Source organism: Homo sapiens, chromosome 5, assembly GCF_000001405.40.
Source record: "Homo sapiens chromosome 5, GRCh38.p14 Primary Assembly".
Classification (NCBI taxonomy): Eukaryota; Metazoa; Chordata; class Mammalia; order Primates; family Hominidae; genus Homo; species Homo sapiens.
The window spans coordinates 22,120,725-22,140,910 of record NC_000005.10 but is presented as its reverse complement, the minus strand read 5'-3'; the positions used below and the strand labels follow the sequence as shown (position 1 = coordinate 22,140,910).

At 35.8% G+C, this 20,186-nt stretch overlaps 1 protein-coding gene across 9 annotated transcripts in view, besides 1 other annotated feature; it reads left to right on the top strand.

The window, feature by feature from the left end:
• CDH12 (cadherin 12) overlaps nt 1-20,186 on the top strand; it is a 1,102,672-nt gene that overhangs the window by 712,434 nt on the left and 370,052 nt on the right.
• Nucleotides 17,960-18,471: an enhancer, noted in NCBI's record as "OCT4-NANOG hESC enhancer chr5:22122549-22123060 (GRCh37/hg19 assembly coordinates)". NCBI's record gives its function as "activates a minimal SCP1, AML or CMV promoter by ChIP-STARR-seq in naive H9 embryonic stem cells {active_cell/tissue: H9 hESC(naive)}" and the evidence as "EXISTENCE:reporter gene assay evidence [ECO:0000049][PMID:30033119]".

The following is a 20,186-nucleotide window of genomic DNA, read 5'->3' as shown; positions in this document are numbered from 1 at the left end:
GACCTGAAATGTGAGGAGGACAGACTGAGAGAAGATCACCTGCAAACTCTCTGAAGCAGACGGTGTAGTCTGTGTAGCACTAGAATGCAGATGTCCACTTCACATGATGGTGTGAGTTTGCACAGGGCCATTTCCTTGGTGACCTGTGTGTCCTAAATCCAAGGGGACTCTCCCAGAACATTCTGTTGTGATAAAGATTCTTGGGATTTTCTGATTCCTGAGATGGGAAGAACTTAGTCATGTAATGGCAAGTTGAGGGCTCAGGATATGATTCAATTTTAATAAAAACAATAACAGCAATAAAGAAATGTGTCAATATTTGCTGTAAGTTTATAGACTAAAATTCTTAGTTTATACATATGCAGCCACAAATACACACACACACACACATGCACAGAGGCAGTTGTGAAAAAACACATACAAATATACAGGATTGGATGAATGCGAAAGGAAACTTACTTCTCTTTTTACTTTATACACTTTTAAATGTATACATTTCTCTGTTGTTTGAAATTATTGTGTGGCATTCTTTTGGCATTACTTATGTAATCAAAACTCTCAAAAGCTAAGTAAAAATTAAGTAGAAATACATTTCAAATTTAGCCAATAGCTTGTCTAGTATGTCTGACTTGACTTTATGGTATGAAAAATGTGCCTTTTTTTAGCTGAGAAATCATCACACTTAGGTATACCTTGGAGAAAGGTAATATGTGACAATAGCACTCGGCAAAAATTATGATGAGCTATTGTTTGTATAATTTTTAATCACTCATATTTAAGACTTGATTTTCTATGCTGATACTAACATGGGATTTCTCTGCTTCAAGCCATCTAAATTAGCTATGCAAAGGGGTGAAAGTTCCGGGGATTTGTTTGGCAACACGTTTCTGAAAGGCCGTTTGGTGCAGCTGCCTTCCATTTGTTTCATCAAGAGACTAAGCTAAACTAAAGTAGTTCTTCATGATGAACTGGCAGGAAAGTGCCAAGATAGTTTTATTGCTTAGCAACTTGGCAGGAGGAAATGTTAAAATATTACAATCTCTCATATCTATGAACTGAGACAGGCTTTCAACTGATGGCTCTCCAGCTCGAACGTGATTAAGATGCAGCCACATGGCCCTGGCTTATATTTTGAGCTGATAGGAGGAAGATAGGGAAGTTGGATACTTTTAAATGTATAAATAGTAATTTCTCAGAAAACATTTGCTGATCTGAGCCAAATGCTAATCTGAGGAATTAAGCTGTCTCCGTTGTGATGTTGATAAGTACTGCAACCCCTATTGATCAATGGGATTTCCTTTGCATTTCAGAAGGAAGGATACGTCTATTGAGAAATTGCACGCCAAGTAAAATCCTGAGATAAACAACTTTATGCAAGAGAAACTGACAGTTTACCATACATTTTTGGAATTTAAAGAGTTGTTGTGGTGTGCTTTCTTTTTGTGCAAATTATGGAATAGATGAAAGTGACAGAGTGATGACACCACCTAAATGGAAGCATAATGTAGACGGTTATTGCAGATGCCTGACCACACAGCTCTGCCAGCGCACATGCTTCCTGCAAACCTCCTGCAATTTAAACCCTTGGGCTCCTTCAACTAATGATGCTAATTTGCCAATGGAGCAATGGCTTTCTTCGCTAAACACTCACCTACAAAGGAGTATGTATTAGCCGACAATGTATGTGCTCAGTAAAAACTGGCAATATAACATGCACATTTTAAATATAAAGACCACTTTCATCACTACATTAAATCATAGGGATTGATTTAATAAATCACAGTGTAAATAACTCTCCAGAATTATTACTATTATTTTTAATAAAGGTAATATTTGGGGAAAAATTATATGGTACTAAATTTTTCCAAAACATCAAATTATTGGGAGAAAAGTTATAGGAGTACCTGGTTCCCTGTTTTGTCTTAAAGGATTTCTGTTCATAATTGAATTTATATTAAGCATGAACAACAGTTTGCAATTGACATTGTTTCATTCAAAGCTAGTATCTTCATGTACATCGATGAGTCCAACATGTATATATATATATATATATATATATATATATTACGTATATATGTACACATATATATTCAATTATATATATAATTATACATATATAATTGAAACTCAATAAGATAAAATGTGTCATGTCCAAAATTAGAGGGAAATTTGACAGCAAAACAAAAGACTAACTAAAATCTTTGTCTCTATGATGTTAAAATTAAGATCCTGCAGATATGACTCAAGACCTATTTGATCTTATTTGTATTCAAACATGCACCTGATGTGTTAAAATTAACATAATTTAAAAAATGCTTCCATCAAATTCAAGAAGAATTCATTTAAATAACCTTTTGATAAATATAAAAGGAAGACATTCATTTTGTTTTTTTCCCCAACTTTATAAAATATCAATTATTATGGCCACTTTAGGAGCAAATTTTAAGAAAGAAAAGCAACTAAAAATGTCACTGACATTGAAAAAGACATTTAAGTGATACCTACTTGTGTGTTCTGAATTGGTTTTAAATATAGTTTTAATCTTTCTAAATTTTATATTATAAAAAATATAATTCTTTCATATTTCTAACACTTTCACATTGCAAATGAGGTACATAGGCCATTTTATTGATGAACAACTTTCAGAACCTAAATCTTCAAAATTGCTGAGCCAAGCTGCAACACTAAAATACATTATCTAAATTGTGCTTGAAAACAATAAAAGACCATGAGTACTATTTTTTAAGTACTACAAGTCAGGGAAGATTAACTTGAATTTAAATAACAAATAAAAGTTACCACAAAGGGAGCAAGCTTTTAAACTGTGAAATAGCTCTAGCTCTACAGTAGAAATCTTATGGTTTTCATATGATAATTTTTTTCAGCATATCTTTTTCTATTTTTTAATTCAAAATGTAAAAGTAAATTATACCTCCAAGACCATGTTTTTCTCATTCTTTGTTTCAACAAATTGCTGATATCTTTCAAAACTGTCATTTTCTGAAATGAGCAGTAGTGTACACAGAGAAATAAAAGAGGTTATCCAGAGAAATTGCAGGTGCTTCTCCAGCCTAACCTTAATGACAGTTTATTGCTGGTCCATGGGGCCCAGTTTTGTTTAAGCAATTATCAGACTGCTTTATTTATGGCGCCCTTGTGCCTGTTTTTGGCAATGGGGTCGCAATAAATTATCAAAATAATGTTAATGTTACAAGAATAGGCTACTTTAAAAATAGGTGGCACCAATTACAATTGAAGGAGAATAGTTAGATGAAGATTTAAATTATGCCAATTGCTCCTGGGAAATTGATGGGATGGATCGAGAGGATCTTCTCTGACTTCTAATACATGCATGTGCAGGGTTATTTCTCACAATTAAAATCAGAAATGTTAAAGGGGAACTTACAATGAAAGAGAAAGCCAATTAATCTAGTCATCATTAATCACTGAGAAAGACACAGTAGTATACTTAGTAAATGTCCTAAAGCAGCATCCAGAGAGAGGGAGAGAGACTATCAATCCCAAAAGACTCAAAAAATCTTTAGGGAGATGTAGAATTATGCCAATAGTTTGCATATTATAACTATAAGACAAAGCTGGGAAGGCCTGTTCTGATATAACTGGCATGCACAGTCACACACCTGGGACCATGTAGAATTTACTACTAAAACGTGAATGGCAATTAATGTACAAAATATGAAAAACAAAGTTCAAACAATATGTGTTTGATGTCAAGATTACTTCTAAGAAAATTTGTAAGGCAAGTTTTGAGTTGTAAGAGGCTCTTAGAAATAGAAACTGTGCTTTGTAAATCATACTGTAAGGCCAGATTAAAGAATTTCATAGAGAGATATTCACACTTAAGACTAACAAATGCTTCGATTTTAGAATAATTCATGAATTTGCTATTTTCTTCATGATGTCAGCTCATGTTTGGTTATTTGCTACTGATCATTTCATCTTCCCTTGCTTACAATTCCAGAATCATTTTATTAATTTATTTAATTATTTATTCATTCATTTATTCTGCTTGGTCAAGTTTCAGGTCTTAAATGATATAGGCTTCATCACAATAGCAGATTTCTTCCCACTTTTGTTTATGTCTATCTGATTACGGTATCAGCATTATTTTTTCTTTCCAACTTTAGAGCTACAATACTCAGGTAAAGTCGGTCCCTGGGATTTAAAACTCAAAATAATTGAATAATATGACACCACAGTGGTAGAAACATGCTTCTATTAATATGAATAAAACAGAATCACAGGGTAAATGCACATATTAGACTTTTGTATGTGGTTGATTATAATGTATATATAATTGAGGATTGACCAAAGCATGGGTGCAATTAGGCATACAAGTTCTTCTTCATAATGGTATTTTTAGTGCCAAATATAGGTCTCCAAAAGGTTCTTGGTGGGTATACATATTGTGAGATGGCATGATTTGTCTTTGATGCACGCTACCCCATGTTAGAATGAGCTGTTTCATTTGGGGACACAACACAAGTAACAGCTCATCTGCTCTCATTTATAAGAGCTTCTATGAAGTAAAATTGAGAGTTGTGTTTTTTTCCAGCAAGTTCAATTATTTAGGGTAACCTCACTCCACATGGAACTCTTCCCCTAGATGTCCATGTTGTCCATATTGATAACTCCTACCTTCCAAAATGTTTGTTGACTTCTTACCTTCTGGTTGAGCCTGCATTTACCTCCTCTCCTTCCACCACACCTACCATCTTAATTTCTTTTTTCCTGCTCTACTTCTCTTATTTTTCATCACATATTTCTTTCAAATCTGCAATATAACTTACCTATCCATTATACTTATGACTTATTTGCTACTTTCTTCTTCAGGGTCAGATTTTCTTCTGTTTAGTTTATTCTTCAATTCCAAAGTGTTTGAGAAAAGAACTGGACCATAATAGGTACTGTGAAAGCTGATTATTTGAATTGGGGCATTCTCGTCATACCCAGTGAAAACAGAGTCAAGAGGGCAGGGGCAAAAAGCACTCAGGACACAAAACATTGCTCTCCCAAAATGTAATTCACTGCAAGTCTGGCTGCTGAAAGTGCCTGCTGTAACCTCACAACTGTTTTATCTAATAGTTGCCAAACAAACCTGCTACAAATCTAAGACTTACTTTACCCACCATCAGTCACCAGTCAGACGTTCCAGCTTCCCAGAACCTTACCAATGCTAATGAACTTTCTCAAAGAGCAATAATTAATATTTCTTTTTTTAGTAAAACCTCCAGCCTTCTCTTCATTCTTCAGACATGCTGAAGACCACTCGGTCTGAATATATGCCCTGATTTGCGAATTATTTATTTCTAAATTAAATGTTAAATTTAGAGATTCCTCTTTACATTTCTATTTTGACTTCAACAGTCCTCATTAATATTTCCTGAATAAATGAATAAAAATATCAGAATTAATGTGCATTTTGAAAAATCTCTTATGAAATATGACAGAAAAATCTGTTATACGCTTAGATCCTTAACTTGATCAGTATTCACCTTGAAATATGCTTTTATCTTATGTAGTCTGGTTTTAAAATGTTAAGGAAAAAAATACACTTAAAAATGGACCTAGTCATTTTTACTCAGCAGTACCATATCATTTGAAAAACAAAAACACTCTAAGGTGGTTTTGTTCCTTTGTTTTTGTTTGGTCTGATTTTCTTTCTTTTTTTTTTTTTTTTGCTTATGTGTTCAGCCTCTTTAATGTGAATAACTGCTCTTCGTTAAACAGTCTCACAGCATCCACTTATAGTCTCCAAGTTGCTCTCACATTCTTTGTAAAAATAAAAGCTCAGTTAAAGACACTACTTTCTTTTATGGTGCAATTTGTTTGCTCTTACACTGGTTCACTCTCTTTGCCATTTGATTTCCTCAATTGAGCAATTTATGACAGATTTTTAAGGTCTACTGTCCATTACAAAGAGCAGGTTTTAAAAACTCCATCATCATCAGCTTAATGAGTAAATGGCTGGAAGCTCAGCAGCTTGGTGGGGGGAGTGTGTGGAGGTTTGACTCTGACAGCCAACTTGCTGTTGCTGTAATTAATAATGAAATGTTAAGTCTCTTGCTTTTTATGTGGAGACAGGGAAAGTGACAGGGATTATGGAGAGAAATAAATTTACATTGTAGCTTTATAAAGCATCCATAGCTTTAGGAGCTCAATATATACAAAATTACTGTTAACATGACAGTTCCCCAAGAAAGTAGTTACAAAAATATTTAAAGCTCTGGGCTGAAGAATCAGGACATTGTAAGAATGGAGAGGAAGAAAAGACACTTTCTTGTATCCTGTCCCTCCTTTCCTGCTGCTCAATTTCTTTCTACTCAGCTGCTTATAAAAAGATGAAAGATATGCTAACTTGTCTCCCTGAGTGAATCTATTCAATGTCACCACCCACGCACTTTCCAACAGTGACAAAAGTTCCTATCACATTCCTCTTCTCAACTCACCTGATGGATCACCCAACTACACCCCACCCGCTATCCTAGAAAATATTATATTAAGAAGTAGAAGAACTGTGGGATTATTTGAATGAGACCTGCCAGTGAAGTCCATATCACTGACTATTAAGTCATGTTTACCACAAGCTAATAGCCCATAGCTCAAGCGGAACGCTCACCATCTCTAGCCTTGTCCTTCTTCCAAATCAGTGCATGTAGACATGTGCTATCTTTGCCTATTAGAAGTGATGGGTAGAACTCTTCATCTACCATTCATGGAATCTGAAGATGGTACAAGGTCATGATGGTCACGCTAGCTTGGTAAACTGGTGGAAAATTAAGTGCAGACTCTCATAATGAAACAAAATATTATCTGAACTGAAGCATCTTGGGTACTGTTCTCTGTAATTCTTCTCCCATTTGCTTATTTGTTCCTTCTTGTTTTCCCTGTGCAAACTGCATCATTGCTAATATGGCTACTTGATCAGTGGTAGTTCCTCATCTTCCACCATTATCCCATTTCAAATCTATCTAAAAGCCTTACTTGTGGATAAGAATAACCGAAAAAAATCAAATTAACTAGTTAGATAACTACTGTAACTATCTTTTATGCTGAATTAAAATAACATGATTAAGTGAAGACTAGCATACTTTAACTGTTCACCATCAACAAGGGTATAAGTTTAATTATGTATATGTACACGTAATTATGTATAGATGTATAGAATATAAACAAATTTAACCATTTTACTTATCCACATGAAATTGCTTCTTTTACATGCAGGATGACTTGTAAATACATTCATAATAGAGAAATTGCAGTGGTTCTGACAATCAGATTTTTGAATTATTTTATTTAGAACTTACTGGTAAAAATTTCATGAGGTAGTTAAAAACTAGATTAAAATTTGTAACTGAAAAATTTGTCATTTGGGTTGAATTACAAATATGAGTCTAAGTTTTATCTTCAGTGCCTCAGAAAGGCTGAATTCAATCCCTTTTAACTAGTTTCTAAAATTTCAGAAGTGCTAAATTTTCCCACAGATTTCTGAACTGGATTTAGGGCAAAGTACAACTTGAAATAGATGGATGGATATGAGAATTCACTAATGATCATTCTCGACTATCTGACTACAACATATTCTGAAAGACAAACTTGCCAAGTTAAATGATCAAAGGTATGCTATGAAATTCTTTTGAAGACCCAGATACCTTCTAGTTATAAGATACTAGTTAAAATAAGCACCTCTAGAAATATTAAATAACAAAATCAATTTTACTCATTTCTTATAGAAGAAAAATTGAGAATGTTTCAATGAATCTGAAAAACAATTTTATTTATTATCAATCTTTAACTCTTTATGTTAAATTTCTGCTTATGTGTCTGAGATGATCATCAAAGTATTCAAACAGATAAAATCATTTCAGAGTTGTATCAGTTTCTAAAATGACAAATTATTTTCGGGAAATAATATTTAGTTTTGGAGTGGAATGTGTGATAATCGAAAACAAAACATGTTTGATCAAAACTGAAGCCTCTGTGCAAAACACGGAGCATGGCAATGTGAGGCAGTGGCTCCTTGGAATTTGGTTCAGTTAGTGATGGCTGGAAGGAATCCTGGACCCGAGTTGCATAGACAAGGTGGATGAAAAGCATATGTAGCCTAAAACCCTGAGACTCCCTCACTCCTTCAGTGGTCTCTCTTTTTGAAAGTATTTGGGGAAAAATAAATGTGCCTGGATTAGGCCCTACCTTTTGGTTTTACTTGTATTTGACTACAGGTATGAACCCCACCTAGGGATTTTCCTTTCCTGACCTGGCAAGGCCTGGAAATTGACTATTAGTTGTCTAAACAACTACTCCCCGTTTCCCCCTCCTGTTGTTCTTAAGGAGTTTGTTATTTCTTCCTCTCCTAGTCATGCACAATGCCTCTTGCACAAGGCTGCTGTGTTCTCGGGGGAAATAAAACAATGCATCCCAAAACAGCAACATCTTAAAATCGTGGATGCGTAATATAACTGTGGCAAGTATCTAATGGAAAAAGACAAATAATGTAAACACAACAGCAAAGTCACTTCATGGATTTGCCCTAGTTCCTAGCAAGGGCCCCCTGTTTGCAGGTCTATTCGAAACTCTCTGTGCTCTCAATCACTTCAGAACATTTTATTTTTTTCCTCCATCAGACTCTCCTCCTCATTTCCTCCTCCTAACTAAACTGGTACATCCCTCAAGCAGGTGCTTCCACTCAACAGTGGAAGGAGGTTGTAGCACTTCCAATCAAGGCCTTCCATCTATATATCTATGTTTATCTATACCTGTATCTGTGATCTATCTAATTAGAAATAGAGACAGAGAGGGAGGTGAGGAGATTGAAATAGTAGTATAAAAAAAGAAGTTCCCAAAGGCAAAATATCCTATAAAGACTTTGCAGGCCCTCCATGGAGATACACGTTTTAAATTCTTATAAGGAAGAACTTAAGTTTTCCTTTCCATAGCTTTTTGCCTCCTAATCATGCCCACTGCTGTGTAAGAAAAAGGGGGCACATTACAGTGCCTTTCAAAACAACCCAGCTCCCCTTGGCCAGTAGATCTGAGGTTGCAGTATTTCTTTACCTTGGGCCAGATTAAATACTTAGGCAAGACTCTCTACCAACCAAACATTTCTGTAAATTGAGAGGGAGCTATAGATGAATGTATCCTTCCTTAGGTCTGGATAATCTGAGAATACTTCCTTCAGGTTTCATGTAGCAGAAAGAAAAATACTTCCATTCTACCTAAAGAGTTTCTTGCAACTGAGATTTGCCTATTGACAGTGTGTGCAAAGCTGAGAGAAAAGAGCCACATTCAGGATGTGGCTATCTCTCAACAAGGAACAAGGTGACCTAGAATAGTAGGAGTGGAGCCATTTAATCACTCAGGAAATAAATTTTGCCATTCCAGTTCTAAAACTCTAAGAGCATTTTTCGATAGGCATGTGGGGAAGTAGAATACTGATACCAATAGCTAAAATCAATCTATCTTATCCCAGCAACTATGGAGCCAAGTTGGGTTAGGACTATGGTCAGAGATAAACAATTAAGTCTGCAGAGCCTAACTAGGTAACTAATTGGTGAAGATGCATTTTGTAAGCTGTGACAGTTGTGTCTAAATCATTGAAAAAGTATGTTTCATCTACAATTGGTAGCCAATGCCGAATTCCAGATGTTTGATTTCCTAGTTTTCTTAGAGATAGTGATTTTTAAAATGTTTATATAGAAGCTGACAGTTAGACATATCTATACATAGAGTTGTACATGAATGTTCATAGCAGCTTTAATATTAGCCCCAAACTGGAAAAACCCCAAATTTCCCTCAAAATTATAATGGATAAAATGGATAAATTCAATGAACATTATTCCTAAAATGAGATACACTAAGCAATAATAAGGAGCTGACCACTGATGTACTCAATAAGAACAAATTTCAAAAAACAAGATGCTGAGATAAAGAAGACAGAAACAAAATAATGCACATGTATGATGTCACTTATACAAAATTTAGAAAAGATATATCCTGTACATAATGACAGAACCTCCATCAGTGGTTGCCTGTGATCAGGGATTGAGATGGTGAGGGCATGTGAGAAGTTTTCATATATGATGGAAATGTGCAGGGGATATACAATTGTCAATATGCATCATACTGTCTAATTTAATATATGTTTTATTGTATATGATAAATTGATTTTCTAAAAATCATATACACTAACTCAAACTTCTTATAGCTGAACACATTTTATATTAGGTGTTTATCTTATATTTACAGATGATGTCTAGTAAGCCTCAGAGATGTCCAGTGGGATCTGGGATTTGAACCCATGTCTATTTCAATTTGTCCTCTCATTCCCTTTTTACATTCAGCTTTTCTTTTAACATGCCCACATTTTCCCTATGACTAAAAAATGAAAATAAACAGAACCTTTATTTTTAAGCTCTTATCCTACTTTGCTTCTTCTGTGCAAATTTTTTAAAATAATAGTTGACATTTATTCCTTCTACTTCCATACCTCATCCATCTCTTGCATTCTAATGTCCATCACCCCCTTACTGAAATAGAGAAAAAAGTCACGATCATCCAGCACTGCCAGTGATTCTCAACTTTTTAAGTAATTGACTTTGTGTGTTTCTTCAGAACACTTTCTCCTCTTAAGATTTCTGGTTCCCTTTTATGTCTCCCACTGCCTTTCCATCATCTTTTTGTTTGACTCTTTAAACTCCTCCCTTTTTCCTTTTTTCCCATGGTCTCTTCAAATATATCTAAACTAATGCGTTCTGCATACTTATTTTGAGTATTTTTGTGAGGTCTAGTCCAACTGGCAAAATATGGTATCTCAATTTCCTACCATAAACTCATCATATCTCAAATTTAAATTTCTCATCTTTCTTCATGCAAAACACCTTGAACTTCAATTTAAACTTCATCATATTCTTCAATTTCTTCTCTCTTTGTTTTATTACACAGCTTATTTTGGCAAAATCTTAGGATTTTTTAATGTGTTTTTCATGTGCATCACCTCTCCATATCTTTACAATTATTCTGGCAAAAGTTTATATTGATAATTAGTCTTAGTGATTATAATTATGCCCTACTTTTGCTTTCTGTAATTCATCCTACACACTGTTGCTAAGTAATAATACCACTAAATCACAGCTCAGAATATATATTTTATTGCCTGCTGGTTTTCTATATCTATGAGAAAATTTATTTCGAATGAAAAAAAACGATTAAACACGTAAAGCTGGAGCACTGAAAAGCACCAGGTGTGCTAAGGGCCAGGGATAGATAGATGAAAGAGCATGCCCGCTATCTTTGTCTTAACATTCAAAGACCTGTTAATTTCCATTTCAACATGCACTTTTTGTCAATTTTGTTTTCCACAGATCACTTTCAAGCATCCTTTGAAATAAACCCACTAAGATCATTTTGCCCAGAGCTTGCCCGTTTTGTACCTCTGCTGAGATTTTTCTCATTTCCTGGAATTATGACAATATTAAGCATAACTGTAAAAATTCTAAGTGTCATTTGTATAGTGTAATAGTAGATCCAGTCCAACACTGCCTAGCAACTTGCACACACCATTGCATTTCACCCTTGCAACAATTCCATGTGGTTGGTTCAGCTATGTCTACTTCACAGATGAAGATATGGAAACTCAGAGGTGTTACATAACTTGCTACCGTCACACAAGTCACAAAATCAAGCCAGTCTGTCACCTAAGAAATCCTAACCCTTCTCACTTTAATACACTACCTTTATTATCCTACATTTAATTTATTTTTTATACAACTTTGTTCATGACAATCTTTGTTCCTTTAGTTGGAAGTTTTTATTCCTCAATTTCCCAAGGGGAAGATTTTACAGGTTAAACGTTTTTGTCACTTGTCACTTAGCAACTTAACATTCTAGTCATTTATGCACAAGTTACTATCTCTACAAAATGTGAACAATTTGAAGATGAAAAATTATGTATCATATATCTTAAATCCATCCCACTGTAGCTCTTTACAGGGAGACAGTACTCAGTAAATATTTGTAAGAATCATGACATGCAAATGTGCATATTCTGTCTTATTAGAATATAATTTAGAAAATGTACTTGACAAATGAAAAGTAGCATCAGATTATTCTTGTTCCAAATATTCCTCCTTGGTAAACACTAATACCTGGACTAATTTTTGAAGACTGTACTTCTCAGTGGGGGAGAAGAAGTGGGAAAAATTCTTTAGTGTGAGAATATCTTAGGGGAACAGCTATAGTTTTAAAAAATACTGCTTTGTTTTATTCCTGTTATTTCTCTTTTATCAAAATTTTAAATTTGTACTTATAGTTGATATAAAAGGATATGTATCTTGAGAGATCATGTGTCAAAATAATTGAAGGACATTTTTTGTCATTTGTGTGAAATAGAAGAAGTGTTTTAAGTGTAGAAAATGATACCTATGTGTGATAGAAATAAGTTTATATCCTATGAGCAGGTAACAAAAAAGAAAAAAAAAACTAGCTGGACTTTTTCTCTTAGGATTATATTTTCTTTGGATGACAATGATAAAAGTTCTCTCTACTATGTAAATTTGCCAGTCTAAGAATAGAGTGTATTATCTTACTGAGTTTCATCTTGCACCCTCAGCATCTATTATTCCTATTAACTCCAAGTTCAACCTCCACCTTGCCCTTTTCTTCTTCTAATTGGCAATGGGCAAATCATTTCTGGTCAAGATCAGGAGCTCATCTGTGGCTCTAACCTTGACCATCAATCCAACTCAAGAGTGAATCCCATTAGCATCAGACTAATAAATGCAAAGATCCAGTGAAGAACAATAATGAACTTTGGCTCACACATCAATCTTTGGCACCTCAGAAACTAAGTGTAATGAACAGTAGGTCACAACCTATAGCTTTCATAAAATGTCCCAGTTGAGATAGCATATTACACATTTAAAACAGTAATGGTGCCAGGTCATTCTGTCAGACATTTGTCAAGTAAGGATGTGCTCCTACACATCTAGCTCTTCTAGTAAACCAATATTCAGACACATAATGGCTGCTTGTATCTTCAATTATCTCCATCCTATCACATTCAGAGCTGCTTCCAGAGAGTCCAGTACTACAGCCTTAGGCTATGGGATGATGATAGCATACCCTACAAACACATGAGAGCAACCTCAAATCTTCTAAATTGTGCCAGTTCTGGGCTTCTTTTGCATAATCATTTATCTGAAAGGACAAGAAATAATTTGCAATTTCAGAATGTGATGCAAAAGACACAGATATTGCTCAACTTCAAACTACTGAGGGGAAGAAAAATAAGATTTTGGTTAATGTTCTATGGTTCAAATATAGTAAAGTCATCCTGGATTCCTGTCCTGACCTATTCTTTCCTTACCATTTAATTACTTCTTTTCACCTACTTTTCTCTTTTTTTTTTTTTTTTCGAGATGGAGTTCCACTCTTGTTGTCCAGGCTGGAGTGCAATGATGCGGTCTTGGCACACTGCAACCTCCGCCTCCCAGGTTCAAGGGATTCTCCTGTCTCAGCCTCCCGAGTAGCTGGGATGACAGGCATGAGCCAACATGCCCAGCTAATTTTTGTATTTTTGTAGAGACCAGGTTTCACCATGTTGGCCAGGCTGGTCTTGAACTCCTGACCTCTCGGCCCCCCAAAGTGCTGGGATTACAGGCTTGAGCCACCGTGCCCAGCCATTTTTCTCTTTCACTTATTTATTTTAGCATCCTTCTCTCTTCTTATAGCTCATCTTTTATATGTGCTTATTTGAAAATGCACAATATAGTTGTTTTTGATAGACTTAAAATGATTTCTGCGGCATGCTATGAATATGTAATACCCCCACAATCCACCCCACACATATTTTGAGAATTTTTATCCTTCTTTGTAAAATTAGCCAGAAGTCCCTCTTTTAACACATGTTCGCTTCCTCATTCTTTGGTGAATTTTGTTTTTCCCATAAGACGTATTTTAACACGGGAATGAATAAATGTATGGGGAACATGAGAGAACCTGTTTAACATCCTTTTTATACGCCATTGGGGATGATAAAGAGCAATGGTCATTTACTTAACATCTTGGTAATTAGCCGCTTGGAGGTTGCAAGGCCTGTAACCAGTCTTTTTGATGCATCCGCCATTTCTGCAAGTGGCTGGAGTGGAGGTACAAATGAAGCTGAATAGATGAGAGACTCTGCAACTGTATTCACTGATAGAGTAATTGCCTGCTTTGTGAATAGGATGCATTCTGGAAGTATATCAAATATATAGAGCAAATACTCAAATAGAATAGAACAAGAAATGGCTATAGTAAAACAAACTTTTCCTGATATTTACCACTTTTTATATTTTACTCAAAGTGTATATAAGTTTTTTTTATATGCAAGATAAACTGATAATTTCAACACAATCTGCACTACTTTGAAAAATGTACACCAGGGCCTTTCATGACTTGTATACAGTTCTGGCCAATCTCTTTATCTCAAACCGAAGAAAGGTATGATGCAGGCAGTAGTTTTTTCTTAGTGCCTCATAATATCTAATAGCAGAAAGTGAGCCGCATAGCAGAGCACATTAGTTTTTATGTATCTACAGGACAGAAGGGCCACTTAGCTGATGACTCCAGGTTTCCTTTGATATAATCTAATGTTCCTATGACCTCAAAGACTGAACACATTTCCCTAAGTGCTTCACTTAGCACCCAGGAGCAACTTGGAGTCTTCACAGAATAAAATCCATTATTTTAATGTAGATTAATACATGTGTACTTATATATATGCAGGTCTATAATAGTTTACTCCTATGTAAGCTTTATTAAAAGCATTGGTATGTTTTACACAAAAAGTTAATGTGAATATTAGAAAAAAAGGACAATATTAAAGCAGTTTGTAGAATTTGTCCCCCCCCCAAAATGAATGAAATACACAATAGATTTAAAAAAAAAAAAACAATGAAAGTGAAATGAGGAAAAGGTCTAATTTTCCCCTTAAATTTCACAATGTGTCAGCCAGACAGAGCATAATTTTGGAATAAACAAAAAGCGAGGGAGTCAATACAGGGTTTCTCCTTCTATCAGATATCTTGCTTTGGCAGAAAGTAAGAAGAACATCTCAAAAACCTCAATGGTGTTCTTAAACTGAGGGTGGAGACAGGGCGTGCAGGCTACTTGAGGAAACACTGGGATGTGTACATGGAACTCACTTGCTCAATATGAATCCATGGCAACCTCAGGTCTAGGCCAGAAGTCCTATGGAGTATTTACTTGCAGAGGTTGGTGGTAGAAGTGCAGTCTAAGATGAGCCATTGACTCAGCTGGAACTAACTAAAACCAGCAGAGACGGCTAAGCCGCTAAAGAAACAAAACTCAACAAAAAATATGGTTGTCCAAATGCCCATCAATGATAGACTGGATAAAGAAAATGTGGCACATATATACCATGGAATACTATGCAGCCATTAAAAAGAAAGAATTAATGTCTTTTGCAGGGACATGAATGAAGCTGGAAACCATCATTCTCAGCAAACTAACACAGAAACAGAAAACCAAACAGCACATGTTCTCACTCATAAGTGGGAGCTGAACAGTGAGAACAAATGGACACAGGGAGGGGAACATCATACACCGAGGCCTGTCGGGGAGTGGGGGACAAGGGGAGGGAGAGCATTAGGACAAATACCTAATGCATGTGGATCTTAAAACCTAGATGACAGGTTGATAGGTACAGCAAACCACCATGGTACATGTATACCTATGTGACACACCTGCATGTTTAGCACATGTATCCCAGAATTTAAAGTTAAAAAAAAAAATGGTTGTATCAAACCCCGAATCTTGAAAATATAAAAACTTAAAAAAAAGTAACCCACTCCCCTTGAAGCAAGGACAGGTGCACCTTACACAGGAACAGACATCCTCTGAAATGCAATTATTTTGCCTTTTGTTTGTTTGTTTGCTTTGTTTTTCTACTATTTCTTTTTAATTGAAAGAGTAATAATGCAGTAATAGAATTATAACTGGTGGCATCACAGGGCTGCATATTAGTAACCTTAGCTGAAGAGCTGTATAAATATCTCATGCACATGTTCTGAAAGAAGCAGAGCTTTATGGCCCAGAGTGATAAGGAGGAAAAAATAAAAAATGCCTCCATACATTCAAAGATCCTCACCCATGTGAAGATCAGATCCAGGGAAAGATAAATTTAAGAAGATTAATAGAGTATGGGATCCATACATTAACTGAAATAAATTAATAAATAAATGTAAGTAAAGGAAGAAGGAAAGCAACATAAAGAGGAAAAAGGCACTGAAGGACCTGCTTCCAAAGACCACATGCCATCATTTTTGCTCCTGATTATGTGCAATAAAATGTGTAACTCATGAAAAAAGGAAGTTAGAGGTTAAAACAACAACAACAAACAGTAGGATGAGATGGCAAGGGCATGCACAGACCTCAGGAAGTAAGCTGGTTTTGAAAAAAATAAGCAAGGCCGGGCATGGTGGCTCACGCCTGTAATCCCAGCACTTTGGGAGGCCGAGTCGTGCGGATCACTGAGATCAGCACTTTGAGACCATCCTGGCTAACACGCTGAAACCGTGTTTCCACTAAAAATACAAAAAATTGGCTGGGCGTGGTGGCCCACGCATGTGATCCCAGCTACCCGAGAGGCTGAGATTGCAGTGAGCCAAGATCCTGCCACTGCACTGCAGCCTGGCGACGAAGCGAGACTCTGTCTCAAAAAAAATGAAATAAAATAAAATAATAATAATAATAATAATCAGCAGGGAGTGTTGGCGCGCGCTGTAATCCCAGCTACTGGGGAGGCTGAGGCAGGAGAATTGCTTGATCCTGGGAGGCTGAGGTTGCAGTGAGCTGAGATCGCACCGCTGCACTCCAGCCTGGGAGACAGAGCGAGACTCCATCCCAGAAAAAAAATAAAAAATAAAATAAAAAATAAAAAAATTACAAAACTTTTTTAAAAATTAAAAAACTCAAGGAAACGAAATAATGTACCTTATTGTTTAAATGCTACACTTTGGCATAAAAGAAAGCTTGGCTCAGATTCTAATGCTGCCATTTCCTAATGTGGTTGACCTTGTCTGACCAAGACATTTCAATATTTATGTTCTCATCTTTAAAATCAGGAAAACAATTAGGTCTCATTTGTCTGGTTGTTATGAGGATTAACTGTATTACTGCAAAATCGCGTAGGACAGAGCAGAATACAAAGGCAACACATTTTTCTTTTCAAAGTTTTAAAATAGAATAAGGAAAAAACAAAAATCAATCATCTGTATGCCTTATAACCATCTAAAACCTGAGATATCTCAGATGGAATTTTTGTCTTTCAATTCCTTTTTCTCTGGCTTTCTAGACCTCAAAATAAATCGAACGACTACATACCCAGTTGCTAATACTAAACTTTGGATTTGTCATCTTGACTTCCCGAATTAGTCAGACTTTTTCATAGAAAAAGAACCAAAAGGATACATAATATCTGACTATAGTCTTAGTTTTGGGGACTGCTATAGCAAACTACCATAGACTAGGTGGTTTACTAACAACAGATTTATTTCTCACAGCACTGGAGGCTGGGAAGGCCAAGATCAAGACATAGACAGATTTGGTGTCAGGTGAGACGCCCCTTCTTTGTTCATAGATGACTGTCTTCTTACTAGGTGCTCACATAGCAGAAGGAATGAGGGAGATCTCCAAGTTCTCTTCTATAAGGGCATTTATCCTATTCATTGACCTATACCTACCACAAGCCCCACCTCCTAATACCATCATGTTAGATGTTAGGATATCAATGTATCAATTCTGGGGGAGACACAAACATTTTTTCTATAGCACATATGGATTTATTTTAAGGAATTGGCTCACGTGATTATCTAAGCTAAGAACTCCCCAGATATTTAGGATGAATTGTCAGGCTAGAGACCCAAGAGAGCCAATGGTTTAGCTATATTTCAAAGTCTGAAGACCTGAGAACAAGGAGAGCTGATGTAGTTCCAGTCCAAAGGCTGGTAAACTCAAAACCCAGGAAGAGCTGATCAGTGTTTCAGTTAGAGTCCAAAGGCAGGAAATAATTCAATATCCCAGTTCAAAGATAGGCAGAGAGAGTCTTCTTTCTCAGGTTTTTTGTTTTATTCAAGCCTTCAGCTGATTAAACGATGGCCACTCACATTGCAACAGGCAATCTGCCTGCTCATTCTACCAATTCAAATGTTAATCTCATCCACAAATACCTCACAAAAACATCCAGCATAGACTCTCATGGTGCTTACATTCCACTGAAATAGATGGCTTATAACCAAATTAATGTCTATAGAGGAATGTCAGGAGACACTGTGTACTACGAGGAAAAGATAAAGCAAGAGAAATGATAAAGCTGGTAGTGTAGTGAGGAATAAGGGAAATAGGAGATGAGTCCTTCGGAAGATCTTGTGGGGCCTTATAAGCCAAGGAAAAGAGTTTTGTTTGTTTGTTTGTTTGTTTTTGTTTTTGTGAGATGGAGTCTCACTCTATTGCCCAGGCTGGAGTGCAGCAGCACGATTTCAGCTCACTGCAACCTCTGCCTCCTGGGTTCAAGCAATTCTCCTCCTTCAGCCTCCCAAGTAGCTGGGATTACAGGAATGTGCCGCCATGCCCACCTAATTTTTGTATTTTTAGTAGAGACGGGGTTTCACCATGTTGGCCAGGCCGGTCTTGAAATCCTGACCTCAGGTGATTCACCCACCTAGGCCTCCAAAAGTGCTGGGATTACAGGCATAAGCCACTGCGCCCAGCAGAAATGAGTTTTAATATATGGCTAAAAATGGTGAAAAGCATTGAAAGATCCTGAGCAGAGAACTAACATGACCTAATAAGTATTTTTTTTTTAATTGCTGCCATGTGGGATCAGATTCAGGCATGGGTGAAGGATCTGTGGTGGTCAAAGTGGTTACTTTGAAGCTAACCTGTTCAATAATTGCACCTATATGTAATATAGTAAAAAGATGGCACAATTAATCTATGATGTTTTAAGTTCAGGCAGTCATTATCTTTGATGGCGGATTTGTAACTAGAAGTGAACAAAGGGGTTTTCCAGAGGGCTTGGTAATGTTCTGTTTCTTGATAGGTACATCAGTGTGTTAACTAAGTTGTAGCTATATACTAAAGACATGAGGAATTTTATGAATATAAAATTTAATAGCCCTTTATATGAAAAAAGGAATACACAAAAATATGTATACACAAATGTTTAAGTGACTTCATATACAGCTTATACTGTATTTACAATGAGGACATTATAGACAAAAACTTAATGTTAATTATCAAGAATTGTGAAGTGTCTGAGATCCTACCTTTTACCCTACTTGCAAATTAACAAGTTTCAGAGAAGGTACTAGAAACATGAGACTCCCGAATCAGACGTAAGACTTTCTCATTCATGACGTATTAGGCAGCATGAACTGCATGTCTTTGTTAGTTCTTCTTGCCCTCCAAATGCCAAATGGATGCTGTGAAACAGCCCAAGTCGGTGCTGGGTAGCTTTGTGTAACAGCTAAGGACCCCTGAGTTTAGGATACCAACGATTTTATAAGCGGGCTGCTTGCAAACATACCTGATCTTTGTCAAGGGAAAGGAGATATTATCTCTATCTTCCAAGGCCATTTACTAGGCAAACATCCTTGAAATGAGAATCTGAAACAAATGCCATCAATGCCTCTTCCCAATATGTGTAGAACTGCTAGATACCCATGGAGAATTGCCTGTCAACATTCAGAAGTAGAAAAGAGCTCTTTCTTGCTCATAATATAGATATAAGTCTGAATTTTAAATTTGGAATTAAGTGAAACATAAACTCACTGTTTTGCCTTCATAATCTTATAATTTTGAGATAAGCTCAACTTCAAAAAATTTAATTACATATAATGTTGCTAAATATTTACTTGCTTAATACAGTATTTTAAAACAATTTTTCCACTAAATGATTTTACTTGTGTTGTCTCTATTGGGTTCTCCAGAAAAGTAACCTTGTGATGATAAAATTATTAAATTTGATTTTTAAAAAACCTGTACATTTGAGGTATAGAAGTTACATGATAAATTGAATAAAGAAATTAATGCTTTGCCTTCCATCTGGATTCCAGATTATTTTAAAGAGTCAAAACTGTAATCATTAGTCTCAATCCAGTGAAAGA